The 17989-nt window shown below is 42.8% G+C and overlaps 1 protein-coding gene across 3 annotated transcripts in view, besides 2 other annotated features; it reads right to left on the bottom strand.

The window, feature by feature from the left end:
- Nucleotides 1–17989, bottom strand: part of CDKL5 (cyclin dependent kinase like 5) — a 228022-nt gene that overhangs the window by 198922 nt on the left and 11111 nt on the right. The window contains exons 1-2 of one of the 3 annotated variants that reach the window (NM_001037343.2): nucleotides 12447–12484; nucleotides 12285–12333 (exon numbers count right to left, since the gene is read on the bottom strand). The exons of the other annotated variants lie outside the window; for them this stretch is intronic. The gene's annotated coding sequence lies outside the window, so the exon portion shown is untranslated. Of the gene's footprint in view, nucleotides 1–12284; nucleotides 12334–12446; nucleotides 12485–17989 lie in introns of those variants that run through there. 3 annotated transcript variants of the gene reach the window in all.
- Nucleotides 11630–12129: an enhancer, noted in NCBI's record as "H3K4me1 hESC enhancer chrX:18460699-18461198 (GRCh37/hg19 assembly coordinates)". NCBI's record gives its function as "activates a minimal SCP1, AML or CMV promoter by ChIP-STARR-seq in primed H9 embryonic stem cells {active_cell/tissue: H9 hESC(primed)}" and the evidence as "EXISTENCE:reporter gene assay evidence [ECO:0000049][PMID:30033119]".
- Nucleotides 12130–12631: an enhancer, noted in NCBI's record as "H3K4me1 hESC enhancer chrX:18460197-18460698 (GRCh37/hg19 assembly coordinates)". NCBI's record gives its function as "activates a minimal SCP1, AML or CMV promoter by ChIP-STARR-seq in primed H9 embryonic stem cells {active_cell/tissue: H9 hESC(primed)}" and the evidence as "EXISTENCE:reporter gene assay evidence [ECO:0000049][PMID:30033119]".

Below are 17989 nucleotides of genomic sequence, written 5' to 3'. Positions count from 1 at the left end.
GTGTGCGCCTATAATCCCAGCTACTCGGGAGGCTGAGGCAGGAGAATCGTTTGAACCTGGGAGGCAGAGATTGCAGTGAGCCAAGATCACGCCACTGCGCTCCAGCCTGGGAGACAGAGCAAGACTCCGCCTCAAACAAACAAACAAATACTGGTAATCAAAAGTATGCTTTAGGCTGGGCACGGTGGCTCACACCTGTAATCCCAGCACTTTGGGAGGCCGAGGCAGGCAGATCATGAGGTCAGGAGTTTGAAACCAGCCTGGCCAACGCAGTGAAACCATGTCTCTACTAAAGATACAAAAATTAGCCAGGCATGGTGGCAGGCACCTGTAATCCCAGCTACTCGGGAGGTTGACACACAAGAATCCCTTGAACCTGGGAAGCGGAGGTTGCAGTGAGCCGAGATCACACCACTGCACTCCAGCCTGGGCGACAGAGCAAGACTCCATCTCAAAAAAAAAAAGAAAGAAGAAAGAAAAGTATGCTTTATGGCAAAATAGTTATATGTGCATTCGTATTTGATTGCTTAGAGCTTTACCAATTTTTAAAATTAATTTTCCAATTATGGACTCCAAACCATCGAATAAGGGGAGCTCCTACAAGAACACCCTGCTAACACTATTCCTTCAAGTCTCTACATAAAGGCTACCTCCTGATTAACAGCCCCAAGGATACTAACCACCTCTTCAAAATACCTTCAACTAGTGCTAGACTGCTATTGGTTTTAACCTCAAAACACTTTAAAAAGCCAAATGCATTATAAATAATGAAAATTACATTACTTTCCTCTTTCAATCTTGATGCTCAATAAGTAAAACAAAACGAGCTCAATAAATCACTGCAGAGTTAGATCTTACAAAGACAACACGCCTATGAAAACGTAGGTTTTTCAAAAGAATCTGTGAAAATCCAAGGCTAAGCAATTTAAGGAGAGAATTTATACCTTAATGGAGGAGAAATAAGTAGGAAATAAGTCAAAGTATGTGAAACAAACTAAAAAAGACAGGAAATATATATGGACCAATTTTAACAAAAATTCAGTTACCCCAGAGAAGTGCTAGACTGGTTCTAAAAAGGAAAATGTTAAAACTCAATTTTAACATTAATGATACATCCACTAATCTTACCCACTGCTACATTTTATTATATATAAAGAAAACATTCATGAAACCAGGAAGTACATACACATCATGGTCTTTTCTTTAAAGTACCTTACAATCCAGTTGTGAACACTGGAATTAATACACAAAAACTTTATGTCCAGAGATTAGGACAATAGGTGTTATTGTCCTAATAAATGTTTGCTGGTCTCACTAAGAGATAAACATCTTAAGATCCTACATTATTAACTTATCAAGACAAAAGGCAAGATGTGACAATTCAGACTCATGATGACCAAATGAACTGTACAAATCAAAATAGCTATAAATGTTCAAAGGAAACAGTACCCCTTTCAGACTGAAGAGGTTATGTTTTATACAGGAGATAGTATATGAACTACATCTGAAAAAATTAGTGGGGTTACAGTAAAGTTGTGTGACCAAAAAGAAGAGGGCACTCAAACGTGGTTAAAAACACTTGAGGCCCAGTGGCCCACGCCTGTAATCCCAGCACTTTGGGAGGCTGAAGCGGATGGATCACGAGGTCAGGAGTTCGAGACCAGCCTGGCCAACATGGTAAAACCCCATCTTTACAAAAAAATACAAAAATTAGCCAGGCGTCGTGGTGCACGCCTGTAATCCCAGCTACTAGGGAGGTTGAAGCACGAGAATCACTTGAACCCAGGAGGTGGAGATTGCAGTGAGCCAAGATTGTGCCACTGCCCTCCAGCCTGGGTGACAGAGCGAGACACAGTCTCAAAAAAAAAAAAAAAAAAAAAAAAAAAAACTTGAGAACTATTATAAATAGTGATGCAATGATACTATAACATTTCCATGCAATGACATTAAATCATTTTCAAAGTGCTTTCATGTTTATCATTTTACTGACTGGACATCACAACCACCCAGTGAATTCACAAACTAGAGAACCATACACTTGAGGAGAAACACAGAAAAAGAATACCTAAGCCTGGGCAACATGGCAAAACCCCATCTCCACTAAAAATACAAAAATTAGCCGGGCGTGGTAGCGTGTGCCTGTAATCCCAGCTACTTGGGAGGCTGAGGTGGGAGAATCGCTTGAATGCGGGAGTCGGAGGTTGCAGTGAGCCAAGATTGCACCACTGCACTCCAGCCTGGGTGACAGAGTAAGGCTCTGTCTCAAAAAAAATAAAAAAAAATAATGCAGTGTTCCATGTGGAGAGTGAAAGCGATGTGTTAATACTACTTACTACCTGAAATAAGCTCATAGATGTCCTACTTCAAATCCTATACAGGGGTCTTACCATTTTTACTAAAAGACCATATTTCACTATCTAAGACAACCAACTACAGACAGCTAAATACAGAGTAAACTCTGAGACAGTAATCACTTATTCTATTAAAGTTTGTATATTATGAAATTCATCTACCTAAAGTTTTCCCCTTGAGTCTGAGCCTAATTATAATTGATTTTCCGTACTCTACCAGAGATTAGAATGAAAAATCTATTAATACAATCATCCTTAGAGTGCAACAAATTGAGCCATTTACCCTAGCCCCAAACTTGGGAAGCCCTTTGCAGTTGTTACAGAAACCAGAAAAGTAGTCTTGCAAAGAATCAGAACAAGGGCAAAAAGTTAAATCAGTATCAGCACATATACCTTCCCTTAATGCCTTTTTATTATGTATAAAACAGTGTGGGTTATCTCTCTTCCGACTTCCAATGTCCTCCCTATCAACCACTAAACATTAATGCTTATTTTTGCCAGATAAAATATAAAAGGGGGCCGGGCATGGTGGCTCAGGCCTGTAATCCCAGCACTGTGGGAGGCCGAGGCAAGTGGATCATTTTGAGATCAGGAGTTTGAGACCAGCCTGGGCAACATGGCAAAACCCCATCTCTACCAAAAATTACAAAAATTAGCAGGACATGGTGGCGCACACCTGTAGTCCCAGCTACTCAGGAGGCTGAGGCTGGAGAATTGCTTGAACCAGGGAGGCAAGGCTGCAGGGAGCCAAGATCATGCCACTGCACTCTAGCCCAGGCAACAGAGTGAGACCCTGTCTCACAAAAATTAATCAATTAAATTAAACATAGAAGGGGTTGAATAAAACTATAAGAAGTAGAGATATTGGCTGGGTGTGGTGGCTCACGCCTATAAACCCAGCACTTTGGGAGGCAAGGCGGGTGAATCACCTGAGGTCGGGAGTTCAAGACCAGCCTGACAAACATGGAGAAACCCCGCCTCTACTAAAAATACAAAAATTAGCGGTGTGTGGTGGCGGGCGCCTGTAATCCCAGCTACTCGGGAGCCTGAGGCAGGAGAATCGTTTGAACCCGGAAGATGGAGGTTGCAGTGAGCCGAGATCATGCCATTGCACTCTAGCCTGGGCAACAAGAGCAAAACTCCGGCTCAAAAATAAAAAAGAAAAGAAGTAGAGATAAGATTTAGGTATGGGCTTAATACACAACTTATAAAAGAACATTCATTCATTCAACAAGTATTTACTCTATACCTACCAAGGTTGGAAACAATAATGGTTAGCATTCTTCTACATCCCAATATACCCTATTTTTACTCCTGCCACCCTTCAGGGACCCTATCTATAAAATGGAACTAATAACTACTCTCACAGAGGTGTCATGGATTAAATGTGGCAACCAAACTTTAAAGTGTTCTGTGCTCAAATAAAGTAACAGTTAAAAGACCAAAAGGTTTTCACAACAGCATGTTAAAAAAAAAAAAAAAGGCCGGGCACAGTGGCTCACACCTGTAATCCCAGCACTTTGGGAGGCCGAGGCAAGTGGATCACCTGAGGTCAGGAGTTTGAGACTAGCCTGGCCAACATGGTGAAACGCCATCTCTACTAAAAATGCAAGAAAACACCGGGCGTGGTGGCGGATGCCTGTAATTGCAGCTACTTGGGAGGCTGAGGCAGGAGAATTGCTTGAACCCAGGAGGCGGAGGTTGCAGTGAGCCAAGACTGCGCCATTGCACTCCAGCCTGGGCAACAAGAGCAAAACTCTGTCTCAAAAAAAAAGCCTCAAAATGTAACTATATATATAGTATGCTAATATTTATCCCTGGACAGGAAGCAGCCTAAAACATCTCTGTATCCCTCAAGGTATTTGGCATACTGTCCTTCATCGAACAAGGGTTCAGTAAAAACAACTTTTTGTCTAAGGTGTGGAGTACTGTAGTCATTTTAATAATCTGGCAAAGAAGAAAGAATGAATAACAGGAACTAGTATTTAATGCTGCCTATTATGTACCAAGTACTGTGTTGGGCACTTCACCTATGTTATTTAGTTTAATTTTCACAGCCACCGCATGAGGTATGTATTAACCAAAAAACCAGGAGTAGATTTTCATTTTCCAAGAATCAGAACATAATAAATCTACACTAAAAACTGAGCAACATATCTTACATTTGGCAGCATCTGCTTATTTCACTTCAAAAGAATTAAGGGGACCGGGCCATATCTTACATTTGGCAGCATCTGCTTATTTCACTTCAAAAGAATTAAGGGGACCGGGCACAGTGGCTCATGCCTGTAATCCCAGCACTTTGGGAGGCCGAGGCGGGCAGATCACGAGGTCAAGAGATCGAGACCATCCTGGCCAACATGGTGAAACCCCGACTCTACTAAAAATACAAAAATTAGCTGCGCGTGGTGGCATGCGCCGGTAGTCCCAGCTACTCGGAAGGCCGAGGCAGGGGAATCGCTTGAACATGGGAGGTGGAGGTTGCAGTGAGCCAAGATTGCGCCACTGCACTCCAGCCTGGAGACAGAGTGAGCCTCCGTCTCCAAAAAAAAAAAAAAAGAATTAAGGGAATCGTATTAAGGGGAAAAAACTTTTATTAACATGAAAAGAAAATGCAGGAAAAAATATAAATGGGCAACAAATGAATCTTATAAATGTTCAATCTTACTAGTAATTTTTAAAATCCAACAAAAAAACAATAAGGAGAAACCATGCGGCCAGAATGGCCAACAGAGAAAAATTAACAGACTTTTCCTTCAGGAGAATCAGCAGTATTTCCTCTACATCTTTCACAAGTGTAGCACATTCCCATGTGAATCATCTACCATCACCACCCAGTGATTCTGGGGGGCGGCAGGGGGGAAGGGCAGGATATAAGGCCAGTATCTTAATAAAATGATCAAAGGTGTACACAATGATTCACTTTAAAAGACATTCTCGGCCATGATGTCTGCAATAGAGAAAAGGGGGAAACCCACGAAGACAGGGCACTGAAGCTCTACTTTAAAATGGCTGACCAAACACACATTTACCTTTCCTCCCACACCAAAACTCAGTGAAATAAGCGAAAGAAATAAAAAATTAATCCAGAGCAGCCCTGAGAATCTAGGAGATGCTCTCAGCACATAGATCAGTGAGGAATTCCAAGGAGCACTGAAGCAAGTTAAAATAGATGGCAAAACCCAAAGAAAACAGGCTCTCAGGCCGGGCGCAGTGGCTCACGCCTGTAATCCCAGCACTTTGGGAGGCCAAGGCGGGTGGGTCATGAGGTCAGGAGTTCAAGACCAGCTTGGCCAAGATGGTGAAATCCTGCCTCTACTAAAAATACAAAAAAATTAGCCAGTCATGGTGGCGGGCGCCTGTAATCCCAGCTACTCAGGAGGCTGAGGCAGAGAATTGCTTGAACCCAGGAGGCAGAGGTTGCAGTGAGCTGAGATCGTGCCACTGCACTCCAGCCTGGGCAACAGAGTGAGACTTCGTCTCAAAAATAAATAAATAAATTTAAAAAAATAAAGAAAAGAGGCTCTCCCTCCAAAGATACATTTTTCCAGAAGAACCCCTGAAAGGTAATAAAATAGAGGAAGTAGGGACTGAGGAAAGAAACAACTGAAGAGCTGTGAAACACCCTTGCCAATGTCCCCTCCCTACCTTCTTTCAACAAGACTAATGCAGCATTTACCAAGCCCTGGCTCTCTGAAATAATTCAGACATCCTTACTCCTCATAATGTTGAGGCCACAGAAGTGGGGCAAGGTGCCAATTAACTGTAGCTTCCATGAGGAATGGGGAATCTCACCACTCAGAAGGCAAGCAACCCACATATTCAATAGAAAAATACTGCATTCCAGGCAAAAGACAAAAAGTAAAGACATCAAGTATGAAACAAAATTGTATAGGAACCTATACGTGCCGGAGCATAGCGTATGAGGCAGAAGAGAGATGATGTGAGGTTGGAGAGGTGGGTGGGCAGAGACTATATCAAGGAGAGCCTGATGGGCAAAATAAGGGAATTCAGTCTTTCTCTTTCTGTTACCAAGACAGCACCAGTGCAGACTTTCAAGTAGGTGATATGACCTAAATCATATTTTATATCACATTGGCAACTGTAGATAATATATGAACTGGACAAGACCCCACTATCTGTCTTGGGAGCCCAGGTGGATCTCAGAAAACGAAGTTTGAGGAAAAGATGTACTTCACATTAGACATGCTGAGCGTAAGGTACCTATAGAATATTCAGGTGTAGATTTCCAGCAGATTACAAGAGACACTAAAGCCTGGAGGGGAAAAGTCATGGAAGAATTTAAGCCGGGCATGGTGGCTGATGCATGTAATCCCAGTACTTTGGGAGGTCAAGGCAGTTGGATCGCTTAAACCAGGAGTTCTGAGACCAGCCTGGGCAACACAGAGAAACCCCGTTTTTACAGGGTGAGGATACAGTGAGCTGTGATCATGCCATTGCACTCCAGCCAGGGAAACAGAGTGAGACCCTGTCTCAAAAAGAAAAAAAAAAAGAATTTAGAAATTTAGAAAAACATCTGTATATAAGTGCAACTGAAATCCTTGGGGTAACTAAGGTACTTCATGGAGACAATGACCTATGATAATTCTTGGCTAAGAAGTCAAAACCAGGTAACAGCAGTGTGTAAGGAGTAAGTAGATCATCAAGAAGCCCACACAGGAGGGAGGGAAAGAAATACAAGAGAAGGACATGGAGAACAAGGATGACAATGGAATACATTGGTTCAAGGGGATAGTGATTAACAGTGTCAGGTGCAACAAAAATGTCAAGTAAAATTAGGACTAAATGAATCCACTAGATGCAGCACACAAGAGGTCACAGGCATTCTCAGCAAAAACAGTTTAAGCAGCGGTGGGGGTGGGAAGCCAGAAAGCAACAGCTAAAATTTGAAGAGTGAATGAGAGACTACGTGTAAATCGCTCTTTCAGAAGTTTCAGTGAGAAGGGGAGAAGTTAGGTAGCTAGGAGAGGATTGGACATGTGGTTCAGGGAAGGTTTCCTAGGATGAGAATCTTAGGCATAAGATAATGGGCAGAGAAAAACGAAGGAGTCAAAAGTGAGACCCTGAGGATGCAGCAACATTACTCAACCCAGGCACTACTGACATTGTGGACCAGGTAATCCTTTGTCATGGGGCTGTCCTGTACATTGTAGGATATCTACACGCCTCTACCCGTTAGATGCTAGCAGCACATGCATCACCACCACCCCCCAATTGTGACAACCAAAAATGTCTGCAGACACTGCCAAATGTCTCCTGGAGGCAAAATCTTCACCCCTCCTCCCCAAGTGGACAGCCACTGGGAACAGAATGGGGAGAATGAAGGGGAATAACTGATGAGAAAAGACTGCCAAAGAAGCAGCAGTGAAGCCTAAGGCTCCTGGCAAAGGACTGCCTCAAACAGCAGAAGAAGCATCTCATCCCCTGAGACAGGAGGAGAGGGCAACTCTGGAGAAGCAGGGATGACAAACTGGTAGAAGTGTGAAGAAAATCAACCAGATGGCTCAAAGTTCTCAGTGAAGTGGAGGCAAGGTCATGTGCTGAGTATGAGTGGTGATATTTAGTGGCAGATTTGAAAACAGTGGCTAGAGTTTGTAACAACTGTTGGGGTCTGGTAGCTGGCAGGTCACACCAGGGAATACCGACTGGGGTTGGAAAACAGCATACTCCCTTCTTCACTGAGAACGTTAAAATGTATTATACCTTCCCACAGAAATCACATACTGTATATTGATTACAGTCCCAAAGAACTCACAAGTCTATATGAATTTCAACTGCATAAAGGAGAGAACAGACTCCTCAGGCTCACCTGGGAAACAAATCCATTTTTTAAATAACATAGTTCCTATCAGATAATGTGAACTGTGTTCTATACAATCAATGTCCAAAAGAACTTTTGGTAAATAACCTGTTCAAGGTGGGGGTTGTCTGTGGTTACAACTACTTCCCAGTTTTGTTTTTTTGTTTTTTTGTTTTTTTTTTCTGAGACAGAGTTTTGTTCTTGTTGCCCAGGCTGGAGTGCAATGGCGTGGTCTCAGCTCACGGACTGCAACCTCTGCCTCCCAGGTTCAAGCGATTCTCCTGCCTCAGCCTCCCATTACAGGTGCCCGCCCACCATCCCTGGCTAATTTTTTTTTTTTTTTTTTGTATTTTTAGTAGAGACGGGGTTTCACCACGTTGGCCAGGCTGGTCTCAAACTCCTGACCTCAGGTGATCTGCCCACCTCGGCCTCCCAAAGTGCTGGGATTACAAGCCTACTTTCTTGTTCTTAACTGGTAGAACTACTTCCTGATCAACAGTCAGGAAGAAAATAGAATAGAAAGGAGTGGCTGCAAAGACAGAAAAACGTATTAAATGAGATTCTTCATATGATAAACACCTGCTCACCCCTGCCCTCTAAATCAAGGGCTGCAAATGCAAATGATTACAGGACCAGGAAACTGGAGAAGTTTCCTGTATTAGTCCATTCTCACACTGCTTTAAAGATACTACCCAAGATTGGGTAATTTATTTTATAAAGGAAAAAGGTTGAATTGACCCCCAGTTCCGTATGGCTGGGGAGGCCTCAGGAAACTTAACAATCATGGCAGAAGGGGAAGCAGGCACCTTCTCCACAAGGCAGCAGGGCACAGAGTGTAAAGGGTGAAGAGCCCCTTATAAAATCATCAGATCTCATGAGAACTCACAGGAACAGCACGGGGGAAACCGCCCCCATGATCCAGTCACTTCCCACTAAGTCCCTCCCCTTGACATGTGGGGATTACAATTCGAGATCAGATTTGGGTGGAGATACTGAGCCAAAGTATTATCAGTTGCCTGAAGCCTGTGCATGGGAAAGAAGCTGGAGGTGAACCACTAGCACAAAGACAAAGACATAAAGGACTGTCCTTGAGTGAAAAAATAAAAAGAAAAGCTACAAGCACCAGCCCAGCGCTGTGCAGAGAAAGTGACCCAAACAGGCTGGATGCGGTGGCTCATGCCTGTAATCCCAGCACTTTGGGAGGCTGAGGCGGGCAGATCCCTTGAGGTCAGGAGTCCGAGACCAGCCTGACCAACATGGTGAAACCCTGTCTCTACTAAAAATACAAAAATTAGCAGGGCGTGGTGGCGTGTGCCTGTAATCCCAGCTACTCAAGAGGCTGAGGCAGGAGAATCACTTGAACCCGGGAACCAGAGGATGCAGTGAGCTGAGATCGTGCCATTGCACTCCAGCCTAGGCAACAGAGCAAGGCTCCGTCTCAAAAAAAAAAAAAAAAAAAGTGACCCAAACAGAAGGGAAAACCCCAAGTCTGTTCTACACAAATATGGAGTCAAAATTTACACTACTTTCCAGGTGCTGGAGACCCATCTGAGAATAGACCAAAACCTCTCTAGACGCAGTGAACCCAAAGGGTCCCATCAGAGACAAATGCAAAACTAGACCAAAAGAGCATTCCACAACCCGGGCATAGGCAAACAATCGTTAAATTGTCAAATACTGCACACCACACGGAGAAACAGCAAAAATCTTGGAGGGAAGAAGGGAAGCCAAATGGGAGATTTCATTCCTCAAAAATTACAGCTAAGAAAATAATCCAAAGAGGACTTAAACATAACTATATTTTTAAATGTCCAAAGAAAATGCTCTTATGAAAATTTAAAAGCTGATTTGAAAGAAAATTTAAATACAGGTTTGAAAGAAAATGTAACAGAAATTCTTAAATTTGAAAATATATTCGAGGTGGGGCACAGTGGCTCATGCCTGTACATCCCAGCACTTTGGGGGACCAAGGTGGGAGGATCACTTGAGACCAAGAGTTCAACACCAACCTGGGCAACACAGCAAGATCCTATCTTTAAAACATGTATATATATGTTTGTACACACATATATATTTGTATATTTGTATAAATATCAATATTTATATATTTGACTATATATAGCCAAATGTTTTTAGTGAAACCCTCAATAAGTTAACAAATTAACTGCACAGCCAAAGAGGAAATTAGTGAATCGTATGATAGATGTCAAGAGATTAGCCAGAAGAGATAGAAATGTAAATTAAACAACACGAAGGATGTGATGAAAAATCCCAAAACATATCTAAATAATGGTTCCATAAATGGAAAATGGAGACGAAACTATTTTAAAAGATAATGGCTAAGATTTTCTCCCACAGCTGAAGACATCAGGGGTCCTCAGACTAATGGAATACATCAAATAAAAGCAGGATACATAAAACAAATCCACACCTAGAGATATCGCAAAAAAAAAAAACCCTGAAGATCAAAAAAACAAGGAAATAAACAGCAACTCAAAAGTACTGTAAATAAAAAATAAATAAATAAACAAGGAAAAGCTCTTAAAAGTAGCTCAAGAGGAGAGAGAATTACTTACCTACAACGAAATTACAACTAAACTGACTGTTGACTTGTCATTAGCAAATAAAACTAGGCCAGGTGCAGTGGTTCACACCTGTAATCCCAGATCTTTGGGAGGCTGAGGAGGATCACTTGAAGCCAGGAGTTCCAGACCAGCCTAGACCAAAAAACTAAAAATTAACGGGAGCTAAATGATAAGAACTTATGAACACAAGGAAACAACAGAAATTGGGGACTACCTGAGGGTGGAGGATGGGAGGAGGGAGAGGAGCAGAAAAAATGACTATTGGGTACTGGGCTTAATACCTGGGTGATGAAATAATCTGTACAACAAACCCCTAAGACATGTGTTTACCTATGTAACAAACCTTCAGGTGTACCCCCAAACCTAAAATAAAAGTTAAACAAAATTTAAAAATCTGTCAAAACACAAAAGAATAACATTAACTATCCCCCTCTACCTGAGGGGAAGGGTGAGAGGAAGGAGAGGAGCAGAAAAGATAACTACTAGGTACTGGGCTTATTACCTGGATGATGAAATAATATGTACAACAAACCCCTGTGACATGTGTTTACCTATGTAACAAAACTTCACATGTAGCCCCAAACTTAAAAGTTAAAAAAAATTTACAAATTTGTCAAAACACAAGAGAATAACATCAAAGTACTCGGGGAAAGGAATTAACCCAAAATTCTGGACCCAGCTCAACAACCATTCAAGGGAAAAAGTGAAGTACAGACACTTTCACAAACACCAAAACCAAATTTACTATTAAGGGGCCCTTACTGAAATAATTAAGAACATTTTTTAATAAAGAAGGAAGAAACTGAACCAAGAAGGAAGAAATGGAGTGAAGGAAGAATGGTGAGCAAAGAAACCTGAAAAGCACATGAGTAAATATTCACTATTTTTATTGGTGTAAGGTGGCTTAAATAAGGCAAAACTAACACATAAATAACATTAACATGGAAGAGGGGCTGACGGTTAAGGAGTAAATCATTCCAAACTCTTGGTCTTATTCAGGAGGACAGGAATAATAATTAAGCTTAGACTTAAGGAAACGCTCATGTTAAAATTTTAAGAGTAACCAAATTTCTGGCTTAAACCCTGGAATAAGAGAACTACAATGAAAAAGAGCTGAACTAATTTCAAATTCAAGACTTTCTTTAAACCCAACAGAGCGCTAGGCGCGGTGGCTCACACCTGTAATCCCAGCACTTTGGGAGGCCGAGGCGGGCGGATCACGAGGTCAAGAGATTGAGATCATCCTGGCTAACATGGTGAAACCCCGTCTCTACCAAAAATACAAAAAAAGTAGCCGGGCGTGGAGGCGGGCACCTGTAGTCCCAGCTACTCGGGAGGCTGAGGCAGGAGAATGGCGTGAACCCGGGAGGCGGAGCTTGCAGTGAGCCGAGATCGCGCCACAGCACTTCAGCCTGGGCGAAAGAGCGAAACTCCGCCTCAAAACAAAACAAAACAAAACAAAACAAAACAAAACAAAACAAAAAAACCAACAGAGCAACCAGTTGGCTCAAAAACTAAGGAGAGTACCTGAAGGGAGAGAGGAGACGACCATGTGCTCGCCTGTTGGAGAGTACAGCTGGACACCAAAAAGAACGGGTAGAAGAGTCAGTAAATGCGTGAAATCCAATGTGGCTTGCTGAAAAGATAGTGTGAAACCACTGGGGGTCACAGAAATTGAGGATATGATACCTCAACTTCCTGTAGGGTCTTCCTCCTCCAACTCCCCCACCCCACTCACTCAGAGCTCTAAAGAGTCCTGAGGTAGGCTCATTGTGATGCAAACCTGGGGGTGGGCAGCAGCTAAGCCTGAGAGGCTGGACACTACCCTCAGATCACTCTCCCCTATCTCCACTCAGGAAGACAAGCCTTCACTGTGACAGAAAGGACAATGGTTACTTCTACCCTTAAGACAATAGTGAAAAATCAGAGCAGCAGGGAGGAGGGGTGGGGGCCCAAGTCCTGGGAGAGGGGTAGGATTCCACATTGAGCCCAATACAACAGCCAGGGAAGGGGCAAGATCCTGAGAGTCAGGCCTGAAACTGAGGCTTAATCAAGAACAGAGACCACATCCTATCACCCCTCCCCACCTCCAAGCAAACAAACTTCCAGGAACAGTAAGAGCAGAATATCACTGAGAAAGGGACGGGAGAAAATCAAGAGTATGTAAAGAGACCCTCACTAAAGCACACTTCGAAGGGGAGACCTGAAATTTAGACTGGAACAGACACTGTTCTGGTAAACCAATTCCCACCCTGATCACAAAGTATCTCTAAGAGAATTTGAAAACTGGGGTACACTAGGTTAACCATAACAACACAAAAAAACTCAAATCCAGCCCAATGTAACAGTGAAAAGGAAGCCTAGCATGACTAACATCATTTTGCTTCTAAGCCCCCCCACCACCACCCAGTGAAACCATCTAACTATGGGAGAAATTCAGTTTATAGTTTAAAGCAAATAGTCCCTTCTGAAAACCCCTGAAGAGATAGGGGCAGTGTACACACAAGTAACAACGTTGTTAATGATTTTTTTTTTTGAGACAGGGTCTCACTCTGTCACCCAGGCTAGAGTGCAGTGGTGCAATCATGGCTCACTGCAGCCTCGACCTCCTGGGCTCAGGTGATCCTCCCACCTCAGCCTCCTGAGTAGCGGGACTACAGGTGTGTGCCACCACACCCAGCTAATTTTTGTATTTTTGATAGAGACGGTGTTTCACCATGTTGCCCAGGCTGGTCTTGAACTCCTAGACTCAAGTTATCTGCCTGACTCGGCTTCCCAAAGTGCTAGGATTACAGGAGTGAGCCACCATGCCCAGCCATGTTAAAGATTTATAGTATTGTGACCTGACCAAGGACAAAGAAGTTTCACAACCTCCACAGACCCTCACTGCCACCTAGATGTCTGTGGTCATCATAGTCATCTCTTGACCTCAACCTCCTCCCTCTTCCCTCTTCCTCTAACATAAAAGGAGGCGAAAATTCATATTAAGATGGTTCTTTCGGACATTACTAGTCCACCATCTTCTCAGGTTGCTGGCTCTCCAAATAAGGTTGCTTTCTTTGCGCCAACACCTTGTCTCTTAACTTATTGGCTGTCATTTGGTGAGTAGTACAACCTTGGACTTGGCTACACCAATTCCTAACTAGATTAACTCAAATACCAGCACTAACGGCCTAGCAGAAGGAAAGACATACCCATTTAAAGACACAAAGATTATATGGAGGCTGAAGTGGGTGGATCACCTGAGGTCAGGAGTTCGAGACCAGCCTGACCAACACAGTGAAACGCCGTCTCTACTAAAAATACAAAATTACCTAGGTGTGGTGGCACATGCCTGTAATCTCAGCTACTTGGGAGGCTGAGGCAGGAGAATTGCTTGAACCCGGGAGGCAGAGGTTGCAGTGAGCCAAGATAGTGCCATTGTGCTACAGTCTGGGCAACAAGAGCAAAACTCCGTCTAAAAAAACCCAAAACACACACAAAAAAATGATATGGCCAGGTGCAGTGGTTCACACCTACAATCCTACCACTTTGGGAGGCCAAGGCAAGAGGAGCCTGAAGATATGACTGAATTGCTGTGATCTCATGATAAAACATGAATGGACAAAGGAGTTGCTGCTTATGGAAGAACAAAGGAACTGTTTTTCTGAGATGAAATCTACTGGTAAAGATGCCTTAAACATTTTTGAAATGACTATTTCAAAAATACACTACTCTATAAACTTAGTTGATAAAGCAGCAGCAGGCTTGGAGAAATAGTTCTAATGTGGGTAAAACGCTATCAAACAGCATCGTATGCTACAGAAGAACCTACAATGAAAGGAACAGTCAACAGATATGGCAAACTTCATTGCTGTCCTATTTTAAGAAACTGCCACAGATCCCCCAACCTTCAGCAACCACCATCCTGATCAGTCAGTCACCATCAATACTAAGGCAAAACCCACCACCAGCAAAAAGGTTATGGGTCACTGAAGGGTCAAATTATTGCTAGCATTTTTTGGCAATAAATTATTTTTAATTAAAGTATGTGCTTTTTTTTTTTAGACATAATGTTATTGCACACTTAATAGACTACAGTATAGTATAAACAAAGCTTTTTTTTTTTTTTTTGGAGACCAAATCTCACTCTGTCGCCCAGACTGGAGTGCAGTGATGCAATCCCAGCTCACTGCAACCTCCACCTCCTGGCTTCAAGCGATTCTCCTGCCTCAGCCACCCGAGTAGCTGGGATTACAGGTGGGAGCCACCACACCCAGCTAATTTTGTATATTTAGTAGAGATGGGGTTTCACCATGTTAGCCAGGCTGATCTCGAACTCCCAACCTCTGGTGATCTGCCTGCCTTGGCCTCCCAAAGTGCTGGGATATAGCGTGAGCCACCACGCCCAGCCAACAAAGCTTTTATATGCACTCAGTAACCACAAAATTTGTGTGACTTGCTTTATGGCAATATTTGCTTTATGGTGGTGGTCTAAAACCAAAACTATCTCCAAAGTATGCCTGTATTGTACAATGTAGATACACATACACACACACACACACACACACACACACCTATTATGGAATAGAACTCAGCATTTCAATGAATTCATGCAATAAATCATGAAAAAAAGCTCAGATATGTCACTCTGGTAGTTGTCACCTTTGGCTTCCCCTTCATCTGCCATACCATAAATGTTGGTAGAAAAGATTCTGGAGCCCCACAGAGAGCTATTAGCACCTACTCATTTACCAGTGTGGATCCAATTATAACAATTACATATCTTACACAGGTAACTAGACACAGGACAGGCATAACTATAGGGTAAGCAGAGAGGAGGATCCACTGGATAGGCACCTGATATACCACTGCACAAGGAAGAAGATACAGACATGAGGAAATGGTGGGGGGCGGGGGGGGGGGCAAAAAGGGGCACCTTTGATAAGGGAAGTGTTTATTGAGCACTTCCTATGTGCAAGGCAATGTGCCACATACTGAGGGTACAACAGTCAACACTCCTTGCCTCCACGGAGCTTACAGTAGAAAAGATCCTGGGATATAGCTAGGGTACAAGCATCAAAGCAAAGCATGTAATACATAAATAAACATTACTTCTTGCAATTCTCCCAGCTTTATATGCCCATCCTTAGATCCTTGTCTTTTTTTTTTTTTTTTTTTTGAGACGGAGGTTCGCTCTGTCGCCCAGGCTGGAGGGCAGTGGTGCAATCTTGGCTCACTGCAACCTCCGCCTCCAGGGTTCAAGAGATTCTACTGCCTCAGCCTCCTGAGTAGCTGGGACTACAGACACACACCACCACGCCCGGCTAATTTTTGTATTTTTAGTAGAGACGGGGGTTTCACCATGTTGGCCAGGCTGGTCTTGAACTCCTGACCTCGTGATCCACCTGCCTCGGCCTCCCAAAGTGCTGGAATTACAGGCATGAGCCACCGCGGCCAGCCAGATCCTTGTCTTTTAATGCACCCTCTGCCTGTAAACCCTTTACCTGCACCTGACATTCTGGACTTCCTTTAAGACTCTTCACAAGCACTCAAGAGTCATTTCCTTTCCCAGTCCCCTTAAGTGCCTGTTGAGTGTACCTCTTCAGGCCAGGCATGGTGGCTCAAGCCTGCAATCCCAGCACTGTGGGAGGCCAAGGCAGGCAGATCATGAGGTCAGGAGTTTGAGACCAGCCTGGCCAACATGGTGAAACCCCGTCTTTACTAAAAATACAAAACTTAGCCGGGCGTGGGGGCACATGCCTGTAATCCCAGCTACTCGGGAGGCTGAGGCAGGAGAATCGCTTGAACTCGGGAGGCGGAGGTTGCAGTGAGCCGAGATTGCGCCACTGCACTCCAGCATGGGCAAGAGAACAAGACTCCGTCTCAAAAAAAAAGAAAAGAAAGAAAATAACTCATGGCAAAAGCGAACTCAATTCAAGCCTGAATCACTATGTAGATTTCCAAGGAACTATTTGAAAGAGGTGATGCTGCAGTTATTCTTCGTATATGTGGAGAGGAACAGTGGGCAAAAGTATTCTTTACAGGCATGAGCTAACAACTTTACACCAAGAAAGACTTGAATGAATGCTCACACAATCACCAAGGCAATCACAAACTTAGTATGGCAAAGATTTCCTAAAAAGAATTCAGCATGTAGGGGCATTTATTGTCGGAGAAAGAAACAAATCAGGATATAAAAAATAACACCTTTATAGCACTTATATATACATAAGCCCACCTGAACATAAAATGTTTAACAGAGACCAATTTAATGTAAAAGATAAGGCCACAGAATGTGAACCAGATTTGAAAATGGTGCTCCTGATGAAGAGTAGTGCTCCTATACAATAGTAACAAAATTTTCTAAAAACATTCTGGGTGCTCACATGTGATTTCATAAAACATGAAATAGCATAAATGCTGAGAAATATTAAACTAGATCTAAGACACTGTATTTGGAAGAACAAAAGAATAAAGCAAACTTAATGAAACATTTCGTTAAAACATTAAATACTTCGAGCAGATTAAAGGTGTCTGGAGGGAAAAAAACAGCAAAGAATTTTAAGTTTAAATATGGAAGAGAGCTAAAGCTGTTAGAAAAAATATTCTAATTCAGTTATAAATAGAAATGACATTCCTATATAAGGTTAACAGAACAGTGAGGGATAAAAGAAAAGGTACCTTTAGAAAATTAAAGGGAATTTCTACAAAAACAATGAAAGGAGTACCGCAGACGACAATCAATCAAGAAAGGAGTTACAAAAATTTTAATGAAACAAGGGAAGAATATTTTACTTTGCAGAGATTATGACCTTTCTGGTAAATTACCAAGGTTCCATTGAACTAAAATTCTTGGGTTTTGTAGCATTTCATTTCATGTCACACCCCTCCTTAAAATCTTCAACCGTTTCCCAGGAGATTTAGGACAAGTTCAAAAACCCAGCAAAATGGCCTACTAAACCTTTTCAAGACCTGGCCCCTGCTGCCAACTTGTGCTTCAATGCCTGTTTCTCTATTTTCTGGTCGTTTTAGATTTCTTTCAGTTCTTTTTTTTTTTTTTTTTTTTTTTTTGAGTCAAGAGTCTCGCTGTCACCCAGGCTGGAGTGCAGTGGCATAATCACGGCTCACTGCAGCCTCCAGCTCCTGGGCTCAAGCAATCCTCCCAGCTTACTCTCTGGGAGTAGCTGGGACTACAGGCACATACCACCACACTTGGCTAATTTTGCATTTTTGTAGAAATGGGGTTTTGC

This window comes from Homo sapiens, chromosome X (genome assembly GCF_000001405.40).
Source record: "Homo sapiens chromosome X, GRCh38.p14 Primary Assembly".
Taxonomy (NCBI): Eukaryota; Metazoa; Chordata; class Mammalia; order Primates; family Hominidae; genus Homo; species Homo sapiens.
This window is presented reverse-complemented; position numbering and strand designations above follow the sequence as displayed.